Source organism: Homo sapiens, chromosome 9 (assembly GCF_000001405.40).
Source record: "Homo sapiens chromosome 9, GRCh38.p14 Primary Assembly".
Classification (NCBI taxonomy): domain Eukaryota; kingdom Metazoa; phylum Chordata; class Mammalia; order Primates; family Hominidae; genus Homo; species Homo sapiens.
In genome coordinates, this window is record NC_000009.12 from 34,663,794 (window position 1) to 34,691,397 (window position 27,604).

At 50.0% G+C, this 27,604-nt stretch overlaps 3 protein-coding genes and 1 long non-coding RNA gene across 6 annotated transcripts in view, besides 1 other annotated feature; 1 reads left to right on the forward strand and 3 right to left on the reverse strand.

Moving 5' to 3' along the window:
• On the reverse strand, nt 370-2,252 carry LOC730098 (uncharacterized). 3 transcript variants are annotated; one of them, NM_001320037.2, is made up of 4 exons: nt 2,185-2,252; nt 1,820-1,887; nt 1,521-1,580; nt 370-1,397 (listed from the first exon to the last, which is right to left on the reverse strand). In NM_001320037.2, the coding sequence occupies exons 2-4, from the start codon at nt 1,864-1,866 to the stop codon at nt 1,241-1,243; spliced, it is 264 nt and encodes an 87-aa protein (NP_001306966.1). In that variant the 5' UTR covers nt 1,867-1,887; nt 2,185-2,252; the 3' UTR covers nt 370-1,240. The 3 variants fall into 3 exon arrangements, 2 of the variants coding, with proteins under 2 accessions (NP_001306966.1, NP_001306967.1); NR_135148.2 differs by having other exon boundaries at nt 370-1,580; NM_001320038.2 differs by having other exon boundaries at nt 1,820-2,252.
• Nucleotides 1,577-1,826: a silencer, noted in NCBI's record as "silent region_19855". NCBI's record gives its function as "represses an Ori minimal core promoter by ATAC-STARR-seq in GM12878 lymphoblastoid cells {active_cell/tissue: GM12878}" and the evidence as "EXISTENCE:reporter gene assay evidence [ECO:0000049][PMID:35858748]".
• The window catches only part of PHF24 (PHD finger protein 24), a 316,938-nt gene continuing 291,147 nt past the window's right edge, over nt 1,814-27,604 (forward strand). The window contains exons 1-3 of the mRNA XM_047423102.1: nt 1,814-1,974; nt 14,303-14,480; nt 17,113-17,424. Coding sequence (XP_047279058.1) covers nt 17,377-17,424 — 48 coding nt within the window. The 5' untranslated portion in view covers nt 1,814-1,974; nt 14,303-14,480; nt 17,113-17,376. The remainder of the gene's footprint in view (nt 1,975-14,302; nt 14,481-17,112; nt 17,425-27,604) is intronic.
• Nucleotides 3,594-4,700, reverse strand: LOC124902146 (uncharacterized). Its single transcript, XR_007061467.1, has 2 exons — nt 4,447-4,700; nt 3,594-3,992 (listed from the first exon to the last, which is right to left on the reverse strand). It is a non-coding gene; the product is annotated as an uncharacterized LOC124902146 (long non-coding RNA).
• Nucleotides 25,777-27,483, reverse strand: CCL19 (C-C motif chemokine ligand 19). The gene is made up of 4 exons (NM_006274.3): nt 27,298-27,483; nt 26,417-26,549; nt 26,137-26,230; nt 25,777-26,046 (listed from the first exon to the last, which is right to left on the reverse strand). Exons 1-4 carry the CDS (start codon nt 27,344-27,346, stop codon nt 26,026-26,028), a joined length of 297 nt encoding a protein of 98 aa, NP_006265.1. The 5' UTR covers nt 27,347-27,483; the 3' UTR covers nt 25,777-26,025.

The following is a 27,604-nucleotide window of genomic DNA, read 5'->3' on the forward strand; positions in this document are numbered from 1 at the left end:
CCCTCCCTGCAATGCAAAGCTCCTATTCATCTTTATCCAGTCCTTTCCAGGAAGCTGGGAGCTGCCTAGGGTGGGGGTATGCTGCCAAGTTCAGTGCCCCTGGCTCCTTTAAGAATTTCCCACTCCTGGTCCAGGGATCTCAATCTGCAAGTCCTGCTCTATATTTGAAACATAAACCAAGTCATAACACAGTAATCCAGCCCTTATCTTGTTGCAGTCGTCTGCTGTAGGGTCAGCCACTCTCTATGGAGTAGGCTTTCTCTTGGGATAGGGCTTAGGCCTTTCTCTTGTGTCCCAAGGCTTGTTGGGTGTAGCCACTGAGGAAATCCCAAGGAAATCTCCCAGGTTCCTCGGGCTTGTCATAGACCTTCTTCATCACTTGGCTGTGCGCTACATACTTTCTGGTCTTCCCTGGGCTTGTCGGTCCAGAAGTCTTCGGAAGGCAGAAAACAAATGCTTTTGGGTGTGCACCCATCTCTCCCCTTTAAGACCAAGTCTTCTCCCCAGCCACAATCTGCTGTAGCTTTGGCCCCAGCCAGAAACTGGGCCATCTCTTTCTTTAACTTAATCTTGTGGTGCCCTTTCTGGTGCTGGGTCCAGTCCCTAACTGAAGGCAGGCCCACATAGCAGTCCCTGATTCTCACCACTTGAGGAGTTAGTGGGTCCCAGGCTGATTGGGTGACAGAAGGGGGCGGCAAAGAGCAGTGGCCCTTGGACTCTCCTAGGGAGGGAGCAAGAACTTCTAGGTAGGCTGATGCCAAGGATCTCTAAACTTGGGATCAGACTGGAGGAGCCAAAAGTTGGGGTATGAACTGTAGGAAAGGTCGCCAACCCAAGTCGCTCCTCTGTGGCAGGCAGCTTCTAGGAATCTCCCCCTCTTACCATTTACAGCCTGCATCCTACACCTCTGCTTAAAATGTTTTAGATATACTCCCAGCAGAGAAGATTCTTCAGACAGCTGGCAAAGTCCTCGCTCCGAGGAAGGGAGTAACAGGCAGGATTATTTAGTTCTCTTCATATAGGCGACTCACAGTATGGGTTTTTGGGGGTTGGGATTGGGGGAGACAGCCATTGATAGTAACAGGAGGCCTGACACTGATGAGGGGCTTTGACGTGGAAGGGCACCCTTCCAGGGAGGGACGCCCTGTCAGTACGGAACAGAGCCCGTGTGGGGAGGGGCGCTCGGCTCGAATGGCGACAGCGGCGGCAGAGTCAGGAGGTCAGTACGGTGGGCTTCGGTTTAAATCTTTAATGCACTGGCTGGCTGGGCAGCGGCGGTGGGGCTGCGGCGGGGGAAGCCACGACCCGAGCGCTGGGGAGTAGGACCCAGGCCGCTGGACAGACAGCTCATCAGGCCTCGCAGAGGCTCCAGCTTCTGCTCCCCGGGGTGCGCCGAGCTGTGGGGCGACCCGACACTGGCATGAGGCGGGGCGGGAGCTACCGGATTCCCCCCGATGGGTCCTCAGAGACTGAGTCCCGTCCATGCCCGGGGCGGGTCCGCGGTATCGCAGCCTCCTCACCTCCGCTCCCTCCGCCACATGCGAAGCCAGGGGAAAAAGTAGAAACAGCCCCAGTAGATCCTGCAGAGAGAGGGCAGAGCCGGGCGGGGCGGGGCGGGGCGGGGAGGAGCTGACCCTACAGACTCCGCCCCGCGGTGCCTCGCCGTCGAGGAAGGCTCCGCCCCGCCTCTAAAAGCGGCTCCCTTCGCGCCCACGCCCCTGGGAGGCTCGCCCTGCCCACCCCTCGCCCCCGCAGAACTCCACCCTCCCCCACCCCGGAGCCGCCTGGTTCCTCCTCCGCAGAACCCGCCTCCACTCACTCCTCCTCCGCCTCCAGCGCCACCTCGTATCTCCTCATTCCCGACATGTCCTGGGCTCCGAACGTCTCCTGGGGAGCGGCATGATTGAATCAGGGATTCCCTAGCCCCAGGTCCCCTTCTCCGTCATTCTCAGGACGAGGCTGCCCAGTTCTCAGGTAATCTGAGGCTGATGCCCCCGAGAAGCCTCAGTTGCCACCACGGGACAGGGTGGGCTTGGAGATTTGGGAGGCACTGGAAGTTAAGGGGTGAGGAGGCCGGTCATCTCCGGGGCCTGGGGCATTTAGGGGGCCAGGGCGAGAGGTTTGGCGGTCATGGGGCTGGGAGATTTGGGGCCCTGGGTGAGGATTTTCAGGGGCTGGGGTCACCTGGAGGGGGGGCTGAGAGGGGTCAGCGCAGCCTAAACTCCCGCCCTCCCTGGCTCCACCCCGGAAACGGACCGTTACTATTACGTCACAGGGATGCCGTTGCGCACTAGGTTTGCCTGTCCCCCGGAAGGGGTGGGGTGTTCATGTCTCCCAGAGGAGGCGGAGTCGAAACGTCATCTTACGGGGTGAGGCCAGGGGCGGGGTCGGTTGATTAAGATGCGGGCAAAGGACCCTCTTTTATAGGTGTCAGGTCAGGTTTTGGAGCTACACCTTGGGGGGCCGAGGCTTCCGCAGCAGGCAGCAAGAAAAGAGAGTTGGGACTAAGTCCAGTACTGTTTTCTTAATCCCCACGTCTCCTCTACCCCTCCCTGGGCTTCTGCCCTGCCGAGTGCCTCTCTTGCCTGCCTTCCTCCCCTTGTATGACCCTGGGCCGAGGAGGAATAGGTCCTCAGATAGAGTCCAGTCTAGAAAAGGCCAGGCTACGGAAATACCTAGTTGAGTGGCCTCGGCTAAGTCACTGAATGGCCGGAGGGTCATTGCCCTTCCTCTCTGGTCTGAGACCTATCTTCTTGTGATTTTTTTTTTTTTTTTTTGCTACATTCATTCAATCAACAAATATTTGCTGAATGACCACCTGTGTGTCAGGCACTGTGCTGGGCATGGGGATGTAGTAGTAAAGAAGACAGGTGGCCGGGCACGGTGGCTCACGCCTTTAATCCCAGCACTTTGGGAGGCCGAGGTGGGTGGATCACGAGTTCAGGAGTTCAAGACCAGCCTGGCCAAGATGGTGAAACCCCGTCTCTACTAAAAATACAAAAGTTAGCCGGGCGTGGTGGCAGGCGCCTGTAATCCCAGCTACTCGGGAGGCTGAGGCAGAGAATTGCTTGAAACTGGGAGGCGGAGGTTGCTGTGAGCTGAGATCGCACCACTGCACTCCAGCCTGGGTGACAGAGTGAGACTCCGTCTCAAACAAAACAAAACAAAACAACCAACAAACAAGACAGGCACCTTGTCTGCCCTCTGAGAGGTAGGGGTAGAGCTGGGAGGATCAAAAGAGAATAGTGAGATTCTTACTATAAATGGAGCAGGCTGGCTGGAAGAAGTAGAAGGTGTCAAGAAAGGGCAATCAACCCAGTGTGGGAGGTTGGAAATAGCTGCCCCAGAGCTCTGACATCCCAGTCAAGGCCCAGTACTGAGCTGTAGTCGGTTTGAGTAAGGGGAAAGACAGTTTTGGGGCTGGGCTGACTGTATAGGAGGGAGTGACCAGAAATAAGTGGGGTGAAAGTTTCCTCTGGTTGAAATGTGAGGAATGGATACCCCTCTTCTCTCCCTCATCCCACCCTCTTTCTCCCTCTCATTCTTGTCTTCCCTTGTCTGAGCCACATACAGAGAGCAGACAGAGAGATCCATGGGTGCTAGGTGGTTTTATTGGAAGCACTGCAGTCTGGGAGTTCAGAAGCTATGCTTTCACCACGTTCACCCTTTCACTCACATTCACACTCATGTTGACACTCCAGGCCTGGCTGGGTCAGGTCTGGTGCCGAGGAACTAGAGGCCTGGTCTTCCCTTCTGGTCCTTGGTTCCCCAGGCCAGGGCTGTCTCTGGCACTGTCATGGGCTAACTGCTGTGGCTCTTGCTCTGGGAAAGGAAGGAGAGGAAGGGCCATGGGCTGTAATCTTAGACAGGGCTCAGAGGGGGCAGACAGGACTGGGGAGGGCCAGGCTTTCCTTGGCAGAGGTCTTCCGCAGTCTCCAGTTTGTGCAATCCATCCAGGGCTGGTCTAGAGGCTGCCTTTCAGTGTGGTGAATCTGGAGTCAGAGAGAATGGAGCCATAGAACTCATCTTCCTGAAAGGCCCTGGTGTGAGGGGCAGATGCTGGGGACCAGATCTGGGAACCTGTTTTAGGGGCTTCCTTGTGGGAGGGATTGGGCAAGGAGAAGTGAAGGAAGTAACATGGTGAATGGAGACCTGGATGATGGAGGAAGTGATTGGGAGGGGAGGAGACTGGACATTCTCCACCCCGACTCATAGGACAAAGTGCCCTGCAGCCATCCCTGAAGAGGAGGTAGCAGAAGGCACCAAAAATGTTCCCAGGAATTGGGTGTTGATTTGCTAAGAGGCAGAGTCCCCAGAGTTGTTGGTATCTCCCAGAGCTAGGGAGTGAGTATTAGCTTTAGGGCTTAAGATGGGAAGGCCATAGCCCTGACTGGAACTTGGGATATCTGTGTCCAGAGCTTTAGTGTTGCTCTCTACTCCACCCACATGCACTGTTCTCTTCTTCCTCTGGGAAGTCCAGGCTAGAGAGACAGAGCCTATAAAGAGAAGAGCAGCCAGAGGCTCCAGGACCCATCCAGGCACTGATACATACAGGAACAGCTGGGGTACAGGCACATCTACATCACACAGGTGCACACAAAGGGCATAGGCATACCCACACCACACAGGCACACACATAGACTGCAAAGGAATACACACAATGCACAGGTATACCCATGTCACACAGGACGTAAAGTCATCACAAGGGCACACCCATTTGGCATATGTACAGTCTCAGGTGCATATCAGTCTCAGAACCTGGATGTTGATATTGTGAAAGGAGAATAAATCTCAGAACCCCCAAATCATTCAACCAAGGGGAAAGTCAAGCTGGGAATTGTGTCAGGCAAACCTGCCTCTTGTTTTATTCCTAAAAGAGATAGCTACAAAGAAAAAGCTACATACCTCCCTCACAATTTGTCCACAGGGAAATTCCTTATGGGCCTCAAGATCTTTACCTTAAAACAGTTGTGCTGAATTTCACCCTGGCAATGTAAACTGATAGCTTATCTTCACAGGTGCAGGACAATAGACAGAACTCAAAGTCATCCCTCTGCTCACCTGAGACAAATGTGTATCTGATTGCTGCTTCTGCCCTATTGTTTATGCAAAAATGCAGATCCACTGAGCCAGACTAAGGCATCAGTGTGACTATTCCTTTACTCCCCACTCCATGTAAATTGTGTATTCAGTGAAAGGCTGATCAAAGACCCCAAAAAATGCAGCCTTTTGTCTCTTATCTACCTATGACCTGGAAGCCCCCACTTCGAGTTGTCCCGCCTTTCCAGACTGAACCAGTGTACACCTTACACGTATTGATTGATGTCTCATGTCTCCCCAAAATGTATAAAACCAAGCTGTGCACCGACCACCTTTAGCATGTGTTGTCAGAACCTCCTGAGGCTGTATCATGTCATGAGTGTGTGCTCAACCTTGGCAAAATAAACTTTCTAAATTGATTGAGACCCATCTCAGATACTTTTGGATTCACAACATGAACTCAGCTTCCTTTACAGACCCCTGAGACCTGCACATTGATCCCTGCCATGCCCCTCCGTACCGTTTAACCCCTGCCCCATTTTACTCACTCATGGCAAGAAAACCAATATGCTGAGAAGAGGAGTGTTGCCACACACACAAGAGGCCATGGAGGATGAGCAGAGATGGACAAATGAGGAGAGTCCCTGGGAGCAGCAGGTGTGCATGGGTGTGCAGGAGTCCTTCTGCTTGTGTGGAGTCTGTGAGACTGTGTGTGAGGTTGGATGGGGAGAGCAAGCAGGAGAGGGATCATGATCATGAGGGCGAGGGAGTCCTTGGAAGACTGAGGGTCCATGAGTGTGTGTGGATCTGTAGGAGGCTGTGGCTGTCTCCTATTTATGGCCCCCTAAAACTTTCATTTTCTACGTTCAGAAACTTCCTTCCCTAATGGTGTGTAATAAAGAATTTGACTGCCTTTTGTCCCTGGCTCCTGAGAGGGAGACTAAACCTTTGGAATTTCCCAAGTAATAGGAGTGTCTTTATTACTCATGAGCCCCTTGGAACACACCTGGGTTTATGCTAAGAGATGAGATGGCTCAGGTTAGAGGTTGGTCACAGTAAAGACCAACCATGTGATTAGAGAGTTGAGACTTTGGGCCAGGCTGACCTCTGGGGAGGAAGGGGGCGCTGGAGATTGAATTCAGGTATGTGGCCAATAATTCAATTATGCTGATGTAAGGAAATCTCAAAAAAAACTCTGGACACCAAAGCTCATAAAACTTTCTGGTTGATGAACACATTGATGTCCCAGGAGGCTGATGCACCTTATGTCTCCACAAGGAGAAACCACTGAGAGAAGCTCTGCATTTGAGACCCTCCTAGACTTCATCCTGTGTGTCTTTTCATTTGGCTGTTTCTGATTTATACCCTTAATAAACTAATTAAACACAGCACTTTCCTGAGTTCTGTGAGTCACTCTAGCAAATTATCAAAACTGACGGGTTTTGGGAACTTCTCAGACTTGTAGCCAGTTGGCCAGAAATGTGGGTGGCTTGGAGACCCTACTTGTGGCTGGTATCTAAACTGGGGACAGTCTTGTTGGGGACCTTTCCCTTAAACCTGTGGAATCTGGTGCTAACTCTACGTGGCTAGTGTCAGAAGTGAATTGCAGTCCATGAGTTGGTAGCAGAATACTTTCCCACTGGATAGCTCCCCATCGCCTCTCTCTCCCTTTTTGTGGAGGAAACTCTTTTCTCTTTCACAACTCTCCGCAGTAGACTGCACCTGTTTTTCACTTTTTGGCTTCAGCTCCGAGAATTTCAGCAATAAGCAGTTTGGACAAGGGGAGGAGAGTTTGCACTATTACCATTAGGGGAAGATTTGCAAGGTTTGTGATGTTGCTCCTTTGGAGGCATTTGAGCCATCAGTCTCAAGGCTGGGAGTCAGGGTTTGGTTCAAGATTAGGGTCAGAGGTAGGAATGTGTCTCCTCCCTAGGTTCCTCACTGCCAGCTCTTCTCTGTAGTACTAAGATACCTGGGAGTAGGAGGAGTGGGAAAGATGGGACATAGCCACCCACTAGATTCCCTGAGGGACAATCACAAGAGCAGGGTAAGGATGAGAAGGTCCTCTCCCAGATTCTCCAGACCTCCCTGGGCCTATCACAGTGCCTATATATCCACCATCTGAGATCCATTCCTCCCTTGGAAAGTGAAGCTAAATGGAACATTCTTTGGAAGCAGGTTCAGCTCCCCTATCTCTCATCTCTGGACTCTAGGACTTCACCTTCCTGGCCCAGCCAGCACTGTCCCTCTCCCTTATTGACCCATTTTCCTATGCCCCAGAGCTGAGTTAGAATAGCTGGAGGAGAACTTGGCCTAGAACATGCCCATTCTCTACCGTGGCCTCCCTATCCTGGGAATTGAGAGGGATTTTTGAGGAGAGGGTTTGGTCTGCTCACAGAGTAACAGGAAAAGAAAGGAATGAGGGAGTCCTGAGAAGCAGGCTTACTGTGTACTGGTTGCCAATTTGTCTGAGTCCAGTGGGAGAACACATCCAACAAGTTATATGAAATGGATTTATTACTCTCAGGTAGGCAGCAAGGGAAACAGAATCCCAGGATTAATTGTGAGGCAGCCCCCAAGGCTCAGGAAAGCTGCCCAGGGCAGATGGCTTCATCTGCCTATGCTGCACTTGCACTGCAGCCAAGGACTCCAGAAAGCAGCCTGCCTTGGGTTTTATACCCCAGGGCAATGTGAATTCCTGGGCTAAAACATTGAAGGATATTGTTTCTGGGGTGGGACTAGAAGAGAGCCTGTTCCTTGTCTGTTTCTGTCACCTCTTCCTTATCTCAAGATTTTGCATTCCAAGTGAGAAAGGGAGGAGAACTGGGTCAGTGTACGGTCACCCAGAGAACTGTTCTGCCAGACCCAAGAGATAGACCTCTCAGAAGACACTATTGTGGAGTGCTATTCTGTTTCCCATTCCAGATCTAGAGTATATAGTGGAGCAGATTTAATTGCCTGTATTTTTCTGCCTCATCCATCCATCCATCCATCCATCCATCCATCCATCCATCCATCCATGTGTCTATATGTCTACTCATCTTTATCTCTTCATCAGCCCATTCTTCCTTCTTTCATCTTTCATTTATTTTTTCATATATTCATTGTGACCTGTTCATCTGTATGTTCAACCATTATTCATTTATTGTTTCCCTTCATTTGTTTGTCTCTCAGTTATGGTAATAATTAACATTTATGATACTTAAGTGCCAGGCACCATGCAAAATGCTTTAAATTCATTGTCTCATGACAAATCTATGAAGTGGATTGCTGTGGGCTGTTTTTGTTTATGCAGACCACTTTTCTACTTTTCTATACCCCTTTTTGTGGTTCCTGTAGGAAACTCCTTTCCCACTTAACATGGTCTTGGTGGGGCTGTCAGCTACAGTGCTCTGATCAGAGTACCCCTTTTCCTGGCCACTGTGATAGACTGAAGAACTGAGTATGTATCACAAGTACAGTTAACCAGAGCTTTCTATGAGATTTGATGTTTGGATGCTAGGAGAAAGAGAGTCTCTTTTAGATCAATCAATATAAAAATTTAGGCTTAAGGCTTCTAGTGGCCATATTTCTTGCTACTAGAAGAGCACCTGTATCTTAGACCATTTTCTGTTTCTTAACAGAATACCTAAATCTGGGTAATTTATAAAGAAAAATAATTTATTTCTTACAGTTATGGAGGCTGAGAAGTCCAAGATTGAGGGGACATACCTGGTGAGATCCTTCTTGCTGGTGGGGACTCTCTGCAGGGTCGTGAGGTGTGGCACAGGGCATCACATGGTGAGGGGGCTGAGTGTCCTAGCCCGTGTCTTTTCTTAGGAAGCCTCTAGTCCCACACCCATAATAACCCATTACTCCATGGATGGATTCATCCATTCATCAAGGCAGAGCCCTCATGACCCAATCACTACTTAAAGGCCCCACCTTTCAATATTGCTACATTTGGGATTAAATTTCTTTTATTTATTTTTAATTTGTTATATATTTTTAAGAGACGAAGTCTCACTCTGTCGCCCAGGCTGGAGTGCAGTGGCATGATCATGGCTCACTGCAGCCTTGAACTCCTGGTCTCAGCCAGTTCTTCTGCCTCAGCTTCCCAAGTAGCTGAGACTACAGCTACAGGTGTGCACCACCATGCCCAGCCAGGGATTAAATTTCAGCATGAGTTTTGGAGGGGACAAATATTCAAACCATAGCAACCTGTCTATGACAGGAATGAGATCCCTACACAAAAAGATTAGTCAGAGCATGGTGGCTCATGCCTGTAAACCCAGCACTTTGGAAGGCCAAGGCGGACAGATCACCTGGGGTCAGAAGTTTGACACCAGCCTAGCCAACCTAGTGAAATCCTGTCTCTACTAAAAATACAAAAATTAGCCAGTCGTGGTGGCATGTACCTGCAGTCCCAGCTACTCGAGAGATGAGGCAGGAGGATTCTCTAACCTGGGAGCGGGAGGTTGCAGTGAGCCGAGATCGTGCCACTGCACTCCGGTCCGGGCTACAGAGCGAGACTCTATTTCAAAAAAAAAAAAAAGAGAGGAATTGAGGTAAGAGAAGGAGATAACAACATTTCAACCCCTGGATCCAGCCAGGGTTGCAGATAATCTTCTCCTTAATGAGAAGCTTTTTTGTTGTTGTTGTTTGTTTGTTTTTTTAAGATGGAGCCTCGCTCTGTTGCCTAGTCTGGAGTGCAGAGGTGTGATCTCGGCTCACTGCAACCTCCACCTCTTGGGCTCAAGTGATTCTCCCACCTCAGCCTCCTGAGTAGGTGGGTGCCACAGCCTGGCTAATTTTTTTTTTTTTTTTGAGACGGAGTCTCGCTCTGTCGCCCAGGCTGGAGTGCAGTGGTGTGATCTCGGCTCACTTCAAGCTCTGCCTCCCAGGTTCACGCCATTCTCCTGCCTCAGCCTCCAGAGTAGTTGGGACTACAGGCACCCGCTGCCAAACCTGGCTAATTTTTTGTATTTTTAGTAGAGACGGGGTTTCACCATGTTAGCCAGGATGGTCTTGATCTCCTGACCTTGTGATCTGCCTGCCTCGGCCTCCCAGAGTGCTGGGATTACAGGTGTGAGCCACCGCACCTGGCCAGCCTGGCTAATTTTTGTAGAGACAGAATTTCCCCATGTTGCCCAGGCAGGTGTCAAATTCCTGAGGTTAAGCAGGCCACCTGCCTCAGCCTCCCAAAGTGCTGGGATTACAGGCGTGAGCCACTGCATCTGGCCTCATACCTAGTTTTGATATAACAAATTTAACTTTTTGCTCAAGGTGCTTTGAATTGGGTTTTTGCCGTTTGCAACCGAAAAAGCCCTCAGTAAAAATGACTGTATTATCCCTATTATACAGATGGGAAACTAAGACCCAGAAAGGTTAATTTTCCCAAGATTTCCCAGTTTATAATGAGTGGAACACTGGTATTCGGAGCAAAACTCTGCTTTATTACCTGTATGTGTCCATCTGCCCATCTATCCATCCGTCCATCCCATCCATTTATTTCTCTGACCATCTTTCAATGCCAAGACACTGAAGACAATTAGTCTTGTTTCACTTGCCAACTTCAATTCTGAAGCTGAGTCTGGATCAGGGATTGGTAAACTTTCTGTAAATGTCCAGATAGTAAATATTTAAGATTCTGTGGGCCATACAGTCTTTGTAGCAACTACTCAGCTTTGCTGTTGCAGCACAAAAGCAGTCATAGATATATTTAAATGAATAAGCATGGCTGTATTCCAATAAAACTCTATTTACAGAAACAGGTGGCAGGCTGCATTTGGCCCATGGGCCATAGTTTGCCAATCCTAGTCTGGATCAATGGGGAAGACATATTATGTTTTATTATTGGGAACATGAACAGGGAGTGCCCTTGTGTTTGTACTGTGATTATATGCTTAAACGATTGTAGTGTGTCCTTGGTGTATGTGAGTGATTGGCTGTGTGATTGATTATGTGTCTGTGTATGTATGTGTGTGGGTAGAGACACGTAGGTGGGTAAGGGTGTCGGCAATTATGTGTTTGTGTATGGTGTTTTTGTTGTTGTTGTTATTTTTGTTTTTTGAGACAGGGTCTCGCTCTGTCACTCAGGCTGGAATGCAGTGGCGTGATCTCGGCTCACTGTAACCACCACTGGGCTCAAGCTATCCTCCTACCTCCCAAGTAGCTGGGACTACAGGTGCGTGCCACTACACCCCACTAATTTTTTGTATTTTTAGTAGAGATGGGGTTTCACCGTGTTGCCCAGGCTGGTGTCAAACTCCCGGGCTCAAGTGATCCTCCCGCCTTGGCCTCCTGCAGTGCTAGGAGTATAGGTGTGAGCCACTGCGCTGGGCAGGTTTGTTTTCTGGCTGCTTTTTCAATCCATCTCTTTGTGGTTCTCAATCCGCAAGGGCCTGCAGGGGGCGTCCAGTGCCTAGGGAAAAGGGGCTCCTGGCCTGGACTCTCAACCTCATGGGGCCTGCAGAGGGCGTCTAGCATACGGGGAAAATGGAGTGTGTGGTTCCTGGCCTGTGGAAGAGGGGATCTGGCCTAAGTGGGCTGTCATGTCTTGTTCCAGAAAGGGGCTGGAAATGAGCAAGAAACCAAATTACTCAACTTCTGAAAGTCCCTGATCCTGGGAAGGGGTCTGCTTCACTTCCTATCCTTTTGCAAATCCTCTATTCATGTCTGGAGGGTCTCAGTCCAGCTGGAGGGGCAGAGCTTGGCTCTGCAGTCCCAGAGTGTGGGTGGAACATTGCACAGAACTTCTGGAGGTGATGGGATATCAGGATAGGGGGAAGTCTTGAGCAATAGCATACACCCCTTCCCTGCGTCCTATCCCCTGGAGCTTGAAATAACGCCACTGCCAGGGTTTCCTCAATAGTTATCTCCTCTATTCCCTGCAGTTTGGGTCACTCTGAACCTCAGGGTGCCTGGGCCTGGGCTGAGCTTGCTTGGGAGAAGCTCAGGAAACAAGGGCCCCTGGATGTAAAGCTGAGGGTGACCTCTGCTATGTGGTTGGAGATGGGGAGCCCTGGGGTGTCAGAGGGAAGTAGGGAGGGGAGGCTGCCTGAAGGAGATAGCTTTGCAAAAAGAACCTCAAGGATGGGTGGGAATGGAGAAAGGACATTCCAGACAGAATGAACAGCAAGCACAAAGGCTCAGAGGAGGGACATAAGAGTTTGTGATTAATCCCAATGTAGGTGGGGCGGGGAAAGGGCTAGTGGTGGGAGAGGCTATATGTGTGTGGGAGGTGGAGTGGGGGAGTTATTTCTGGTCATATATAATTTTGAAAAATTCCTGAGGAAGGAGCCATGGGGATGGCCAAGCCCAGATGTTGCAACTGCCCTTAGGAAGGAGGCTGAAGTCAGGGCTGGGCTGTAGTAGCAGGGCTGAAGAAGTGGCGCAGATACCAGAGACATTAAAGAGGTAGAAGTTGGGCTGGGCATGGTGGCTCATGCCTGTAATCCCAGCACTTTGGAAGGCCAAGGCAGGTGGATCACTTGAGCCCAGGAGTTCAAGACCAGCCTAGGCACAATGGGGAAACCACATCTCTACAAAAAATACAAAACTTTGCTGGGCATGGTGGCGGGCCCCTGTAGTCCCAGCTTCTCAGGAGGCTGAGGTGGAGGATCTCTTGAGCCTGGGAAGTTGAGGCTGAAGTGAGCCATGATTATGCCACTGCACTCCAGTCTGGGCAACAGAGTGAGACCCTGGAAGAGCCAGGGATGGTGTACAGATCTACTTCTGGGTTCCAGGCTGCAGAGCCAACTGCCTATTTGGGATTTCCTTGGCTTTCTTACAGATACTGGATTGGGCTGTTTTTGCATTGTTATAAAGAAATACCTGAAACTGGGTAATTTATAAGAAAAAAGGTTTAGTTGGCTCACAGTTCTGCAAGCAATACAGGAAGCATAACACTGGCATTTGCTTCTGAGGAGGACTCAGGAAGCTTACAATCACGGCAGAAGCTGAAGGGGGAGCAGGCATCTCATATGGCAGGGGAAGGAGCAAGAGAGAAACAGAGGGAGATGCCACACGCTCTTAAACAGCTAGATCACATGAGAACTCACTCATTTTCAGGAGGACAGCCCCAAGGGGGTGGGGCTAAGCCCTCCATGAGAAATCCATTCCCGTGATCCAATCACCTCCCGCCAGGCCCTATTTCCAATACTGGGGATGACGCTTCAACATGACATTTGGGCAGGGACACATTTCCAAACTATATCAGATACCTTATTCCAAAACCAAACTCCTGATTCTCAACACCTCCCTCCTAGCTTGTCTTCGTCTTCTCCCCAGTTATCCATCTCAGAAAAGGAAGCCACCATCCCTCCAGGGGCTCAGGCCTGAAGCCTGGTGTCATCCCTGGTTTTTCCCTTGCCCTTATGCTTCAAATATAATCCATCAGCTCAGCCTCATGTTCTACTTATAAGTCCATATTGGATTCCTCTTCTCTATTCCAACTGCCACCACCTAGGTTAGGCCAGCATCATCTCTTTCCTAGACTACTGGAAAAGCCCTCTGACTTCCCCATTCTTTGTACAATTCATTTTTCCTGACTGCTGATAGGGTCTTTGTAAACTGTTTTTTTTTTTTTTTTTTTTTTTTTGAGATGGAGTCTCGCTCTGTCGCCCAGGCTGGAGTGCAGTGGCACGATCTTGGCTCACTGTAAGCTCCGCCTCCCGGGTTCACGCCATTCTCCTGCCTTAACCTCCCGAGTAGATGGGACTACAGGTGCCCGCCACCACGCCTGGCTAATTTTTTGTATTTTTAGTAGAGACGGGGTTTCACCGTGTTAGAAAGAGGATGTTCTCGATCTCCTGACCTCGTGATCCACCCGCCTGGGCCTCCCAAAATGCTGGGATTACAGGTGTGAGCCACTTCGCCCAGCCAGTAAACTGTTAATGAGATCATGTTACTCCTCAGATTAAATCTTTCACAGCACTTATAGAACAAAATCCTCACTCCTTCTTGTGGCCTGCAAAGACTTGGATCCTATGATTCCAGCCTCTGTGTCCTACCTCTTCTTATGCCATCTCCTCCTCGTCCATTGTCCTCTGGCCACACTGGTCATTCCTCCTTGAATGGCTGGCTTCTTCTCTTTTAGGTGTCCTGGTGGTTAATACTGAGTGTCAATTTGATTGGATTGAAGGATTCAAAGTATTGATCCTGGGTGTGTCTGTGAGGGTGTTGCCAAAGGAGATTAACATTTGAGTCAGTGGGCTGGGAAAGGCAGACCCACCCTTAATGTGAGTGGGCACAATCTAATTGCTGCCGGCAATATGTGCAGGCAGAAAAATGTGAAAAGAGAGACTGGCCTAGCCTCCCAGCCTACATCTTTCTCCCATCCTGGATGTTTCCTGCCCTTGAATGTTGGACTCCAAGTTCTTCAGTTTTGGAACTCGGACTGTCTCTCCTTGCTCCTCAGCCTGCAGACGGCCTATTGTGGGACCTTGTGATCGTGTGAGGTAATACTTAATAAACTCCCCCCCTTTATATATTTTCTTTCTTTCCTTCCTTCCTTCCTTTTTTTTTTTTTTTTTTTGGAATGACGTTTTGCTCTTGTTGCCCTGGCTGGAGCGCAATGGCGCAGTATCGCTCACTCTGCAACCTCTGCCTCCTGGGTTCAAGCGATTCTCCTGCCTCAGCCTCCTGAGTAGCTGGGATTACAGGCGCCTGCCACCACACCCAGCTAATTTTTGTATATTTAGTAGAGACAGGGTTTCACCATTTTGACCAGGCTGGTCTTGAACTTCTGACCTCAAGTGATCCGCCCGCCTAGGCATCCCAAAGTGCTGGGATTAAGAGCCACCATGCCTGGCTCTTTCTTTTTCTTTTTTTTTGAGACAGAGTCTTGCTCTGTCACCCAGGCTGGAGTGCAGTGACACGATCTCGGCTCACTGCAACCTCCACCTCCCGGGTTCAGGCAATTCTTCCACCTCAGCCTCCTGAGTCTCTGGGACTACAGGCATGGGCTACCATGCCCGGCTAATTTTTGTATTTTTAGTAGAGATGGGGTTTCACCATGTTGGCCAGCTGGTCTGGAACTCCTGACCTCAGGCGATCCGTCTGCCTTGGCCTCCCAAAGTGCTAGGATTACAGGCCTGAGCCATCACACCCGGCCCCTTTAGATATGTCTATTCCATTAGTTCTGTCCCTTTAGAGTTTAAACTAACACCTGTCTGGTTTGAACCCCCTTCCTGCATAAAAGCCCTACAGGCCAGATACTCACATTCCCAGCCTCTCTTGCATCTAAGAAAGTCCAACCAATCTGGATGTACCTTCTCAGGGCTGTGAATCAAGTATTAGTGATGCAAAGAAGCAAGGACCATGGGGAATCCATTTTGGTGGTGGCAGTAGAATTGGTGGCAGTGCCATTGTCTCTCACTTGGCCCTTTGACTCATCAGATCCAGTGGTGTTTGAGGTGTCTGTGGCCAATTACCATGCAGTATGAAGCCCAAGAGCAGGTTGCTCACATTTCCAGCATGCTTGCTTCTGGGTCATTGTCACCTTTCCCTTAGTCTGCACCTGCAGCCTCATGGAGAGTTCTTGATGACCGTTGACTCATAAGCCAATTTTTCAGCTGGGTATATATGATTCTGCACAATTTTCTGGAACTAGTTTAGAGTGGATCACTATAGCATTAAGGCCCCATTCAGGGTGATCCTGAAAGACAGTGGTGGGCGGATCACGAGGTCAGGAGATCGAGACCATCCTGGCCAACATGGTGAAACCCTGTCTCTACTAAAAATACAAAAATTAGCTGGGTGTGGTGGCGCGTGCCTGTAATTCCAGCTACTCAGGAGGCTGAGGCATGAGAATCGCTTGAACCCAGGAGGCGGAGGTTGCAGTGAGCCGAGATCGCGGCTCTGCACTCTAGCCTGGTGACAGAGCGAGACGCCTTCTCAAAAAACTTCCATATTGTGGAGAGGACCATGTGCCAGTGAATGGCAGGCAGTTCTAGGAGCTGGGAGCTTCAGTCCTACAAGCACAACTACCAAAAATAGCAGTGAGTTTGGAAGAGGGCTCTGAGCCTCAGATGAGATTGCAGTGCTGGATGACATCTTGAGTTCATTTCTTTTATATTTTTAATTTTTATTTTTGCCTGACAGTCCAAATATGTTTGTATGACACCTTGAGTTCAGCCTAGTGAGGCCAAGATCAGAGGACCCAGTCAACCTAGACCTACACTGTTGGCTCACAGGAGCTGTGAGATAATAAATTTGAGTTATTTTAAGCTGCTAAATTTGTGGTGATTTATTTTACAGCAATAGAAAACCAATACAAGGCTGGGTGCAGTGGCTCATGCCTGTAATCTCAGCACTTTAGAGGACAAGGTGGGCAGATCACCTGAGGTCAGGAGTTTGAGACCAGCCTGGCCAACATGGTAAAACCCCATCTCTACTAAAAATACAAAAATTAGCCAAGCATGGTGGGGGGTGCCTGAAGTCCCAGCTACTTGGGAGGCTGAGGCAGGAGAATCGCTTGAATCTGGGAGGCGGAGGTTGCAGTGAGCCGAGATCGCACCACTGCACTCCAGCCTGGGCGACTGAGGGAGACCCTGTCTCAAAAAATAAAAAAATAAAAAATAAAATAAGAAGGCCGGGCGCGGTGGCTCACGCCTGTGGTCCCAGCACTTTGGGAGGCCGAGGCGGGTGGATCACGAGGTCAGGAGATCGAGACCATCCTGGCTAAAACGGTGAAACCCCGTCTCTACTAAAAATACAAAAAATTAGCCGGGCGTAGTGGCGGGCGCCTGTAGTCCCGGCTACTTGGGAGGCTGAGGCAGGAGAATGGCGTGAACCCGGGAGGCGGAGCTTGCAGTGAGCCGAGATCCCGCCACTGCACTCCAGCCTGGGCGACAGAGCGAGACTCCGTCTCAAAAAAAAAAATAAATAAATAAAAAAAAAAATAAAATAAAATAAGAAAACCAATACAAGAAGAGAATAATAAATGTCAGCTAAGTCCCAGAACCAGTTGCAGAACTACTGACTGTAACTTTTATCCATATTCCCTTCCATGTGAAATGTGTCTATTTTTCTGTTCTTTCACTGACTCCTCTTTTCTTTTATCCTCCTTTATTGCATTCTTGAATATAGGTTGTTGTGGTGGTATTACTACTACTCAGCAAGATTCTGGTTTTACTTCTCATCTTGGGAGTTACCATCAAGACGTTAGGTATGGCTGTGTGACCCACTTTGGCCAATGAAATGTGAACAGAAATGGCATATGTCACTTGTGGACAAAAACATTTAAGCAAGAATTTCCCTTGCTGTCTTCCTTGACTGGAGCGACCATGGAAGCCTGTGTTGAGATGAAGAGGCTGCCAACAGATCAAAACACTTGAAAACTTGAGCAGCCACATGGACTACAACTGTGCTGGAGACTTGCCTGGACCCACAGCAGGCTTGGTATGCATGGGGAATAGAATTTTGTTGTATTACACTCCTCAGATTTGGATGTCATTTGTTATTACAGCATTACCTAGCCTATTCTGACCAATCAGGTGTGTTGGTGGTGGTTACCAGGTGTTAGAAAATAGAGATGTAAGATTACAGTAAAACTGGAGGGGGAAAACATGTCACCCCAATATCTTGGATTTAGAAGCAGATGTTGCTATGGAATGAATTGTGTCCCCCCCCAAATTCGTATGTTTAGTCCTAACCCTAAATGTGACTGTATCTGAAGATGGGGTCTTTAGGAGGTAATTAAAGTTAAATGAGGCCGGGTGTGGTGGCTCACACCTGTAATCCCAGCCCTCTGGGAGACCGAGGTGGGTGGATCACCTGAGGTCAGGAGTTCGAGACCAGCTTGGCCAACATGGTGAAGCCCTGTCTCTACTAAAAATAGAAAAAGTAGCTGGGTGTGGTGGTGTGTACCTGTAGTCCCAGCTACTTGGGAGGCTGAGGCAGGAGAAGTGCTTGAACCCAGGAGTTGGAGATTGCATTGAGCCAAGATCATGCCACTGTACTCCAGCCTGGGTGACAGAGTGAGACTCCATCTCAAAAAAGAAGAAGAAGAAAAAAAAAGGTTAAATGAGGTCATAATCCGATAGGAGTATAGACTTAGAAGAAGAGGAAGGGACCTCTCTTTGTCTCTCTCTGTCACATAGTAAGAAGGTGGCTGGCTGGTTGCAAGCCACAAAAAAAGCCCTCACCAGAAAGTGACTATCTTGGCACTTTTTTTTTGAGGCAGGGTCTTGCTGTTGCCCAGGATGGAGTGCAGTGTCATGGTCACGGCTCACTGCAGTCTCAACCTCCCAGGCTCGAGAGTTCCTCCCAGCTCAGCTTCCCAAGTAACTGGGACTACAGGCACCTGCCACCACACCCGGCTAATTATTTCTATTTTTTTTTTTTTTTTTTTTTTTGTGGAGACATTGCCCAGACTGGTCTCAAATTCCTGGGCTGAAATGATCCTCCTGCTTTGGCCTCCCAAAGTGCAGGGATTACAGTCATGAACCACTGAGCCTGGCCCATCTTGGCACTTTTGATCGTGGACTTCTAACCTTCAGAACTGTGAGAAAATAAATTTCTGTTGTTTAAGCTACACAGTCTATGGAATTTTGTTATGACTACCTGAACAGACTAAGATGGATGTGGTAATTTCTAAGGCTCTGAGTTGTCTGTCTTTCGGGGGGGTGAATTTTTTTTGGCTGTATAAACAAAGGTGATATTATGTTAGGTGATACGCTCAATTTTCTAAGAAGTCTAGGGTTTGGGAAGAAGGATGTATGTTGATCTTGGATAGCCATAGTGTGGACTATAGAGATATTTATTATTATTATTTTCATTGCCCACAAAGTTAGCCCCTTTCTGTGTTTGAGAAACTTCCTATTATATTACTCTTGGTTACTGGTAGACTTTGCTTTCCATCATAGAATCCCCAAAAGTCACATACTAATTTTCCCAGCCCCCTCTGCACTAGGACTTGGACACATGACCTAGGCTTTGCTAATCATAGGACTGTGAATAGGAAACTAGTAGTGATGTGAAGGAGTGGGGTTATTAGAGAATCCATTTTTGGTGGTGGTAGCCGTGGTGGTGAAAGTGATGTCTATTTTACAGGGGCAGCTGTAGCTATGATTCCAGAGGTGGCATCTGGCAGGCTGACCACCTAACACTGGTGAGGCTTGGGGCAATAGTACAAATGGAGGCCCACTATCTAAATATTTAAAAGGTAAAAATCAAGCGAACAAGTTGTCAAATAAAAAATGTGTCTGTCTTCCTTACCTTGAAAAATATACTTTCTTTCTTTCTCTCTTTTTTTTTTTTTGAGACAGAGTTTTGCTCTGTTGCCCAGGCTGGAGTGCAATGGCACAATCTCAGCTCACTGCAACCTTTGCCTCCTGGGTTCAAGAGATTCTCCTGCCTCAGCCTCCCAAGTAGCTGGGATTACAGGCATGCGCCACCATACCTGGCTAATTTTTGTATTTTTAGTAGAGAAAGGGTTTTGCCATGTTGGCCAAGCTGGTCTCGAACTCCTGACCTCAGGTGATCCACCCGCCTTGGCCTCCCAAAGTGCTGGGATTAAAGGCGTGAGCCACCATGCCCGGCCAAAATATATACTTTCAAAACAACTTGGAGGCTAGGTTCAAGTTGAGAATTCTTGAACTCCTTGGAGATCCATGATGGAATGAGGTGGTAAGGGGAGAGCCCATCACCAGCCCTCCACTTGTCCCTCTCCTCTTCCTATCCACAGTTCTATCCTGCACCATGAAGGGTCTCACGTGTCTGGGTGTAAACACTCCAGCCCCATACATACAAGCTCCTTCTACATTCCCTGCAAATAGCTACTTCTTGGCTACCCTCTGGACCTGGTAGTGTGTATATCAGTAACATAGTCTATCCTAGGAAGAACAAATCTGAGGAAGAGGCCCATAATGATATTGGAAGCTACTTGGGGGCATTTGGGCAGGAAATTCTCTGTTTTTCAATTCCTGAAATATGGTCTAGAAGAAAAGAATGAGTTCTGGGTGGGTGCTCCCTTCGTCCTGTGGACTTTTTTTTCCTGTGTCCAGAGATATGATTAGAGGAGGGCCAGATCAGGGTCATCTAAAACATGGGATGCAGGGCAAGGGCCCCAGTTGTCTGGACATAAGCATTGTCCTGGCCACTTGGCATCGCCTTTTGGTGGTGCCACCATGCTGTCTTGGAGGCCTATCTGGACCATCTGTACTGTACCGTATGCTCTGGGAGTGGTTCTGGCTGCCTAGGCTCACTTATTCTCGCTATTTTCTGCATCTTCCCAGGGTCTTTTTAATAAACTCCTTTTCTGTTGGAATCAGCCAGTGAGTTTCAGTGGCTTGCAAGTAAGAATCCTGATCCACACTTTTGTTTATTTGCCTTTTGTTTTTGGAGGAGAGGGGGAAGCTTCATGAAGACCAAGACCATATCTATCTTGTTCACTATCGTATCACCAGCACCTAGAATAGTGCCTGGAATGAATAAGTGTTCTGGGTTGCAGACAGTGATGAGGCATCACTTTAGACGTGAGGGGTTTTCCCAGGGCTGGAAACCTATGTGATGGCAGCGCTGAGACTACTGGGGGCCTTACACTAACATTCAGAGTGATACTCTGGCACTCAGTGCTGCCATACCAGGAGCCATTTACGTAGACTACAGAGAGGATGGTGCCCCCTGGAGTTGTGCAGTGCTGCTGTCCTGCCTCACAGGTTTAAGTGTTCCTGACAGTGGTAGGGTTTCCTGAGAGGAATGGTGGCTTGATAGTAATGGGGGGACCTTGACATTAATGGGTGTCCTGTCAGCAATGAGGACATAATAGGCATTGGGACATCCTATCAGGAATGGGGGTTCCTCAACTGATGAGCACTTTGCAGTGTTGAGGCCCTGACAGAAGGGCTGGCTTCCTCTTGGGAGAGGACCCTTGAAATGATGGTTTGGCAGGAATGAGGTCGACGTGGTGATTGGGGTTTGGATTGTGTTAGGCTCAGATTTCCAGGGACTGGGATTCTGAGATCAAAAGCCCTAGGAGATCTGGTTGTCCCAGAATGGTAGTGTTCCTGTGGCTGGGGTGAAAGCTTTCCCACCTCTGCCAGGTTGGAGCCGAGGGTGGCTCACATCTTCTGCATCCCCCTGGAGCCACGGGGAAGACCCAAAGGCCCTAGAAGTAGGGTGGGGAGGCCTGATTCCCTCATCTACCCTGATCCTTAGAGGTTCTGTCCTTGCTGTTTTCCTCCAACCCTGCCCTGCCTGCCCCTGGCCCCTTGGGAGATGGAAGTGTCCCTCAGAAATGGGCCTTTTGAGAGTTGATGCTGCCTTGCTGCCCTCAGATGCTTTGCTCTTCAGAGGTCCTCTGCCACCTGCCGATCAGACGCCTGGCCCCACTCCTTTCCAGGAGCCCTGCCTGTCACAAGGTTCCTTGTCCTGCCTCTACCCCTACCCTCCAGATCCCCAGCACTCTTCCTACATTCCTCATTTCCTTTCAATATCACCAGGTCCTGGCATCTGATACTCCCCTGGGAATAGGAGTAGGGTGGGCATTGCTGTAGCCCAATCCCCTTCTCTACTCCTCTGTTGTTGGGAAAACTGAGGCCTGAGTAAACTCCCTCTTTGAGGCTCTGGGGAAGCTGATGCTCCTTCTACTGCAGAGGCCCAGGAAGCTGGAAGCCCTCTAGGGTGTGTCTTTGTGTCTGGGTTCAAGTGTTAGGACCCCACCTTTGGCCACCAGCTTCCTCTCTTGTTTTTTCCCCAGCTCTTTCTAGCAAGCTGAGCTTTTCTACCCCAACTAGACTTCCCAGCCCCCAGCCCTCAGTCCAAGTGCTGCCCATCAGTCAGGCTTAGACTGCAATCCCAGCTTTGCCACTCACCAGTTGAGTTGACTTGGGAGGTCATTCTCCTCTGTGCTTCAAATTCCTTATACATAGAATGGTACTAATGATACCTCATGGGATCGTTTGAGGGTGCAGTGATGTAGTGCCAAGAAAGGACTCAGCTTGGAGACTCGCACATGGCCAGCACCCAAAAGTAGTGGCTTTCCCTATTTCCATGGGCTGCTTCTCCACATCTGGCCTTGCTGTACTGTTCTCCATTTGTAATTAGGAGATAGGTCAACTCAGAGAAGTGGTATGTGTAATAGTTCAGAGTAGATATTCTGGAGCCAAACTGCCCAGACAGGAACGCCAGCTCTGCCTTTTTTCTAGTTGTCTATCCTGGGCAGGCGACTTAACCTCTGTACCTCAGTTTTCTCAGCTGCAACATAAGAATGGTAATAGCACTTAAAGCAGTGCCCAGTACCTGGTAAGCGTCAGTGGTGAATTAGCTAATACTCAGAGCCATGTCCTTCCATGTGGACAAAGTCTCAGGGATCACCTAGGAAGTTATCTGACTGGAGAAATGCCTGCTGATTCCTACAGAGGGGCACTTGCAGGAAATTTCCCAATTAGGAGTCCTGAGCCTTCATGAAACTGTTATATCTAAGGTTTTCTGGTGGTTTCTGAGTTTCCCGTAGCCTAGAAGGAGGGAGTGACATGGAGCTTGCCTGCCGAGAAGTTGAATATGAGATGATCAAAACCGTATGAAGCTGGCTCTGAACAAACGCTCAACCACACAACAGAGATAGCCCCAGCTGTCTTGAGAACTGGATGTGCTCCTGGTGGGGGGCGGGGCATGGTGGGAAAAGGCCATGTTCAGTTCCATTTTTGTTAATCATATGTGTATTGGGGCTTATTTCATGCCAGACCCTGGCAGAGCAATGTTAGCAATGGAGTTGGATGAGGCCCAACCTCTCCCTTGGGAGCTCCCTCAACAAATAGGAAAGGGAGATTTTCATCCCCCAAAGGCTAAGAGCAACCTGAGAAGGGATGTCAGATACTTTTAGGGAGATATTGGCTGCTGAGATATTGGCCTTTAGGATGGGAGGTATCACCCAGCTGCAGGCCTTGAACCTGTAACAGATGCCATGTGCGCTAGAGAAGAAGGTGTCTATCTATAGGCAGGCAACAAGGCCTCCACATCCTAACTGGGAAGCTAGGAGTCCACACCACTCCTCAGAGATCTGACAATCTCTGGTGGGCTCCTGGCCCACCAGAACTCTGGATAAATGAAAATGCAACAATTGTCAGTGACTCACCGTGAAAGAGGAAGCAGATGTTGATTAAATGTAGTCACAGTGCTGAGAATGTTAGAGTGGGGCAGGATGCTCAGTTGCTCCAATTGCTCAGATTGCTGGGCAATTGTACCTGGCAGGGAGATAAGGGGGTAAGACCCAGTGCCCAGGATGGGTTGGTATGGTTGGGGGGTGGGAAAAAGAGGAAGGCAGAAAGCTAGGATGGAAAGCATTGGCTGTAGAAGGGGTGGGGAGGGTTGCATGCCAGCTCCCCTGGGACTCTGGTGTCCACCCCTTCAGATTTCCTCCAAGTTCTTCATTTCCCAGGCTTCCAGGGTCAATTGAATCCAAGGCACTTCACTAGCTCCTAGATTATTTTCTCTTTTTATGAGCCTCAGCATCTCCTTTGATCTCAGAGGGTGGCCCCAGGGAGAGTTTTCTGTATGTGCAAGACTTTGTGGGGTGTCTATGCAAATGCTGGCGGTTTAGCATGAGAACCAAAGATTCAGGAGCCAAGTCTTTGTTTGGAAGGAGTCTCAAAAATCAAGCTCCTCTCTCCCATCTGACAAATGGGGAAACTGGATCTCCGGGTGCAGAGTGGAAAAGGAACTTGCCCAGAGTCACACAATGAGTGGGGCAGAGACAGGATCATGGGACTCTGGCCCAGGCAGTGAATTCAGGATTTGCTCTGTACCTCCTGGCGGCAGTGTCATGGAGGTAGCGTCCAGGGGCCCCTATCCTGGTAGCATCTTCTTCAAGGTTCCCACTCTCACCTGCCCTGCTCCGTCTGTGTGTTCCTCCGATAGTCCAGAAAGATCACTTTTGTTGCTTCTGTGGCAGGCTGACTTCCTCTAAATGTCACTGGCACTGAGAAGGATTTCAGGCAATGTGCTCCCCTCCCATGTGTGTTTGTCCTCTGAGACACCAGCCTGCTGGGATGCGGGGCACGGGGTCCACAGCTGGGAGACCTAGAACGCCATGGCTGGCTGGCTTGGTGGATGGATGAAAGAATGGCTGGGTGGGAAGTGCGTGAGTGGACAGTTGGCTGGATGGAGGTCTGATGAATGCAGAAACAGCTGAATGAATGGATGCATGGATGCATGAATGGATGGGTTATTGCAGCTTTTCTTGAAAACTATCCCTATCCCTCCCACCCACCTGGTATTCCAGGTGATTCTGAGACCTGGGATACCCAAGGTTTTGAGCACCTGCATCTGGGAGCAGAGGAGAGGAAGAGGATGTCATGCTCTCAGTGAGGAGGGGCTTTCACAACTCCCTCACCATTTCTCCCTTTTCAAGGCCTGCCCAGGCCTGGTTTTGTTGCTGGCTGACGTATACCCGATATAATGACACCTCTCTTCCCAAGCAAGGGTGCTCAATCTGGCCTCCTTGCTGTCATCTGACCCCAGTGGCACAGCCTTGTCACTCCCAGCTGGAGAGGCCCTTAGAGAACACTGTCTGGAGGCTAGCCTGCTTCCCCAGGAGACTTCTCAAGTACGAGGCACTCACTCTGTACAGAGAAGCCCTGTGGGATGCTCCAAGAGTCACACGGCTCTCATCTCCCAGAGCTGAGATTCCTTTCTGGTCTCATCTGGGGAGATGTCTCTGGTCTCAGTGTTGCCTTTGAGCCCTGGAGCCCATGTAGACTGTAGGGGTGGTGGTAGGGCTCCTCTATGTGGAATCTCCTGTGCTTCCCTGGCTACTCCTTCTTCCACCCCGTGGGCCTCTCTCCTGTCTCTGACCTCTGACTCCCAGGTCTGTCTGTCGGTGTCCCTGAGAGGCATGGCCCCAGGATTGCAAAGATGGGGCTGGACCTTGCTCAGTTTGGCTGAGAGAGGAAGGCTGGCCTGGAGGTCAGATTCTGTATGGACAGAATGAACAGATGGACCCTCAGCCCTGGCTGCTGAGCCTTTCCTCACATATTTATTCATTCTCTAAACAAATATTTATTGAGGGACTGCCTTGTGCCAAGCAGCATGCTGGACACCACAAAAACAGTGGAACCCAAAATAGATGTGATCCCAGTCCAAGAACATGGACAAATTTGGACAAACCAGCAACTATAAGTCAGGGTGATGAATGCTGTGAGGGGCCACTGCAGGAGGCTACCTAACCCAGCCTGGGGTCAGGGAAGGCTTCCTGGAGGAAGAGGCGTCTGGACCCAGATGGGAAGCCAGGTGGGCAGAGGAGAGAGAAGAGTGTGCCAGACCAAGGGAAGGGCATGGGTGGATGGGTATTTTCCCCCAGGCAGTAGAGCTGGGCCCTTTGCCCCACTCCACCTCCCCCAGCCGTGAGAGCTGGTTCCCCACAACTCCCTTCCCCCCAGTGACACTGGATTCCTTAGACACCTGGATGCTTGAACACCTGCCTTGGAGAGCAAAGAGTGGGAGGCATGAGACGCTGGCTCATTCAGGGAACTGACCCAAGCTTAGTGTCGCTGAACTATGGAAAGCAATGAGGCTGATCCTGAGAGCATCAGGTTGTTAAGTGGAGGTGAGCAAGGAGACCCCCTAGGCCACAGAAGAGAAAATAGATCCTGCCATTCCACCTCCCCCTTCCTATTCCTGTCCACCTGGCTAGACAGCAAACGGACAGCAGACAGATCTATGGGTGCCAGGTGCCTTTTTTTTTTTTTTTAAGGCTAGTTAAGCAGTAGGAGTGGAGAAAGAACAAAGAAATCTGTAACAGGTTGTGATCAATTAGTTGTAAACACCAGGCGGCTTTATTGGTAGCATTGCAATCTGGGGGTGGAGCAGCTTTACTCTGACCACACTCACCCTCTCGCTCACACTCACACTCACACACACCCCAGGCCCTGTCCTGGCTGGTCAGGTCTGGTGCAGAGGAGCTGGAAGCCTGGTCCTTCCTTCTGGTCCTCGGTTCCCCAGGTTAGGTAATAATTCACAATGCTTGACTCGGACTCCGGGCTCCCTCTGCACGGTCATAGGTTAACTGCTGCGGCGCTTCATCTAGAGGAGGAAGGAGAGGAAGGATCATGGGCTGGAATCTTAGACAGGAGCTCAGAGGGAGGAGACAGGGCCAGGGAGGGCCAGGCTTGCCTTGGCTGAGGTCCTCTGCAGTCTCTGGATGATGCGTTCTACCCAGGGCTGGTCTGGGGGTGCACAGAGCTGGCGGCCCCTCAGTGTGGTGAACCTGGGGTGAGAGGCCGGAGAGAATGGAGCCCCAGAATCCAGCATGCCTGGGGACCATGTCTGGGAACCTGTTTCAGGGATTTCCTTGAAGGGGTTGGGCTTGGCATGGAGAAGGGGAATAAGAAGGTGGGAGTCTCAACAGGGGCTAAAACGGGAGATGAGGCTAGACACCCTCCCCACAACTCACACTACAGCAGGCACCCTGCAGCCATCCTTGATGAGAAGGTAGTGGAAGTTCCTCACGATGTACCCAGGGATGGGTTTCTGGGTCACAGACAGGCAGCAGTCTTCAGCATCATTGGTGCCACTCAGAGTTGGGGCTGGGATGGGGAAAGAAGGTGACAGGACACAGGGACCCTTGAGGGTGGCATGGCCATGGCCCTAGCTCGGATTGAGGACACCTGTGTGTGTGTGTGTGTGTGTGTGTGTGTGTGTGTGTGTGTGTGTCTGGTGGGGTCGGGGAGGAGTTAGACCTGGTATTCAGCCATTATGCACCAATATGGCTCTGGCTCTACTGGTTGCTAAATATATTGTCATACTTCTAAACTGTTTTGTAAATAACCACTGCCCTGAGCCCCACAAATGACTTCCTGCTGCCCTGATCACCCCAACCTCTCTCCCAGGACAATCCAGCAAGTAAAGAGTTAATGCAGGTCACAGTGTGGGAGGGGCGTGGGGTAGGGTAGGCTGGTGTTAGGAGCCTTATTAATTGCTAAAATTTTTGAATATCAGCCTTGGCTTAGTGTCTGCCATTCTCCCTACCTTAAGCAAATCTCCTTCTGCCTGGGAAACGGAGGCAGCAGGAAATAGAGCTTGCAGAGACAGTCACAGCCATAGGCCCCAGGATGTGCTAAAAGACACACCCGCATTGGGATTCAGGGGCACAGGGACACCCACACTTACAGGCACACATGCAGGGACCTGCCAGGCTCACCGAAATATACAGACCTAAGCATTTGCCTGAACTCACCATGTCCCTTACGTCCAGTGCCAAGCAATCTGAGATCTAGACATTACCCACTGCCAGCCCCCCACTGCCTCTGACCCTGACTCTCCCTTCAGCCTTACCTGGGGAAGTCCAGAGAACCAGCAGGCTGAGGGCCAGTAGCAGGGCCATGGAGGGTGAACAGAGGCAGGCCAACGGTGAATGTGTGAGCGCCAGCTGTCTGGGTGTGTGCAGGATCTGTGTGAGGCTGCAGGGCGACTGGGATGCAGGGGTGAAATGCAAGGTGTGAGTGATGTGAGGCTGGGAATGTGAGCCCTGCAGCTGACTCCTATTTATGGCCAGAGCTTCACTTTCTCTGCCTGAAATTCCCCTTCATGTCCCATTCTGTGATTCCCCTGTTGCCCCCCTCTTTCTGGCAGAATCGCACCC

Bases quoted from the DNA above. Each gene is read 5' to 3' on its own strand.
- LOC730098 (NM_001320037.2), bottom strand. From the start codon at position 1,866: ATGTCGGGAATGAGGAGATACGAGGTGGCGCTGGAGGCGGAGGAGGA. The intron at 1,581-1,819 runs GTGAGTGGAGGC...CTCTCTCTGCAG, and splicing joins GCGCTGGAGGCGGAGGAGGA to GATCTACTGGGGCTGTTTCT. The intron at 1,398-1,520 runs GTGAGGAGGCTG...GTCGCCCCACAG, and splicing joins ATGTGGCGGAGGGAGCGGAG to CTCGGCGCACCCCGGGGAGC.
- CCL19 (NM_006274.3), bottom strand. From the start codon at position 27,346: ATGGCCCTGCTACTGGCCCTCAGCCTGCTGGTTCTCTGGACTTCCCCA. The intron at 26,550-27,297 runs GTAAGGCTGAAG...TCCCCATCCCAG, and splicing joins GGTTCTCTGGACTTCCCCAG to CCCCAACTCTGAGTGGCACC. The intron at 26,047-26,136 runs GCAAGCCTGGCC...TTCCTCCTCTAG, and splicing joins TGCAGAGGACCTCAGCCAAG to ATGAAGCGCCGCAGCAGTTA.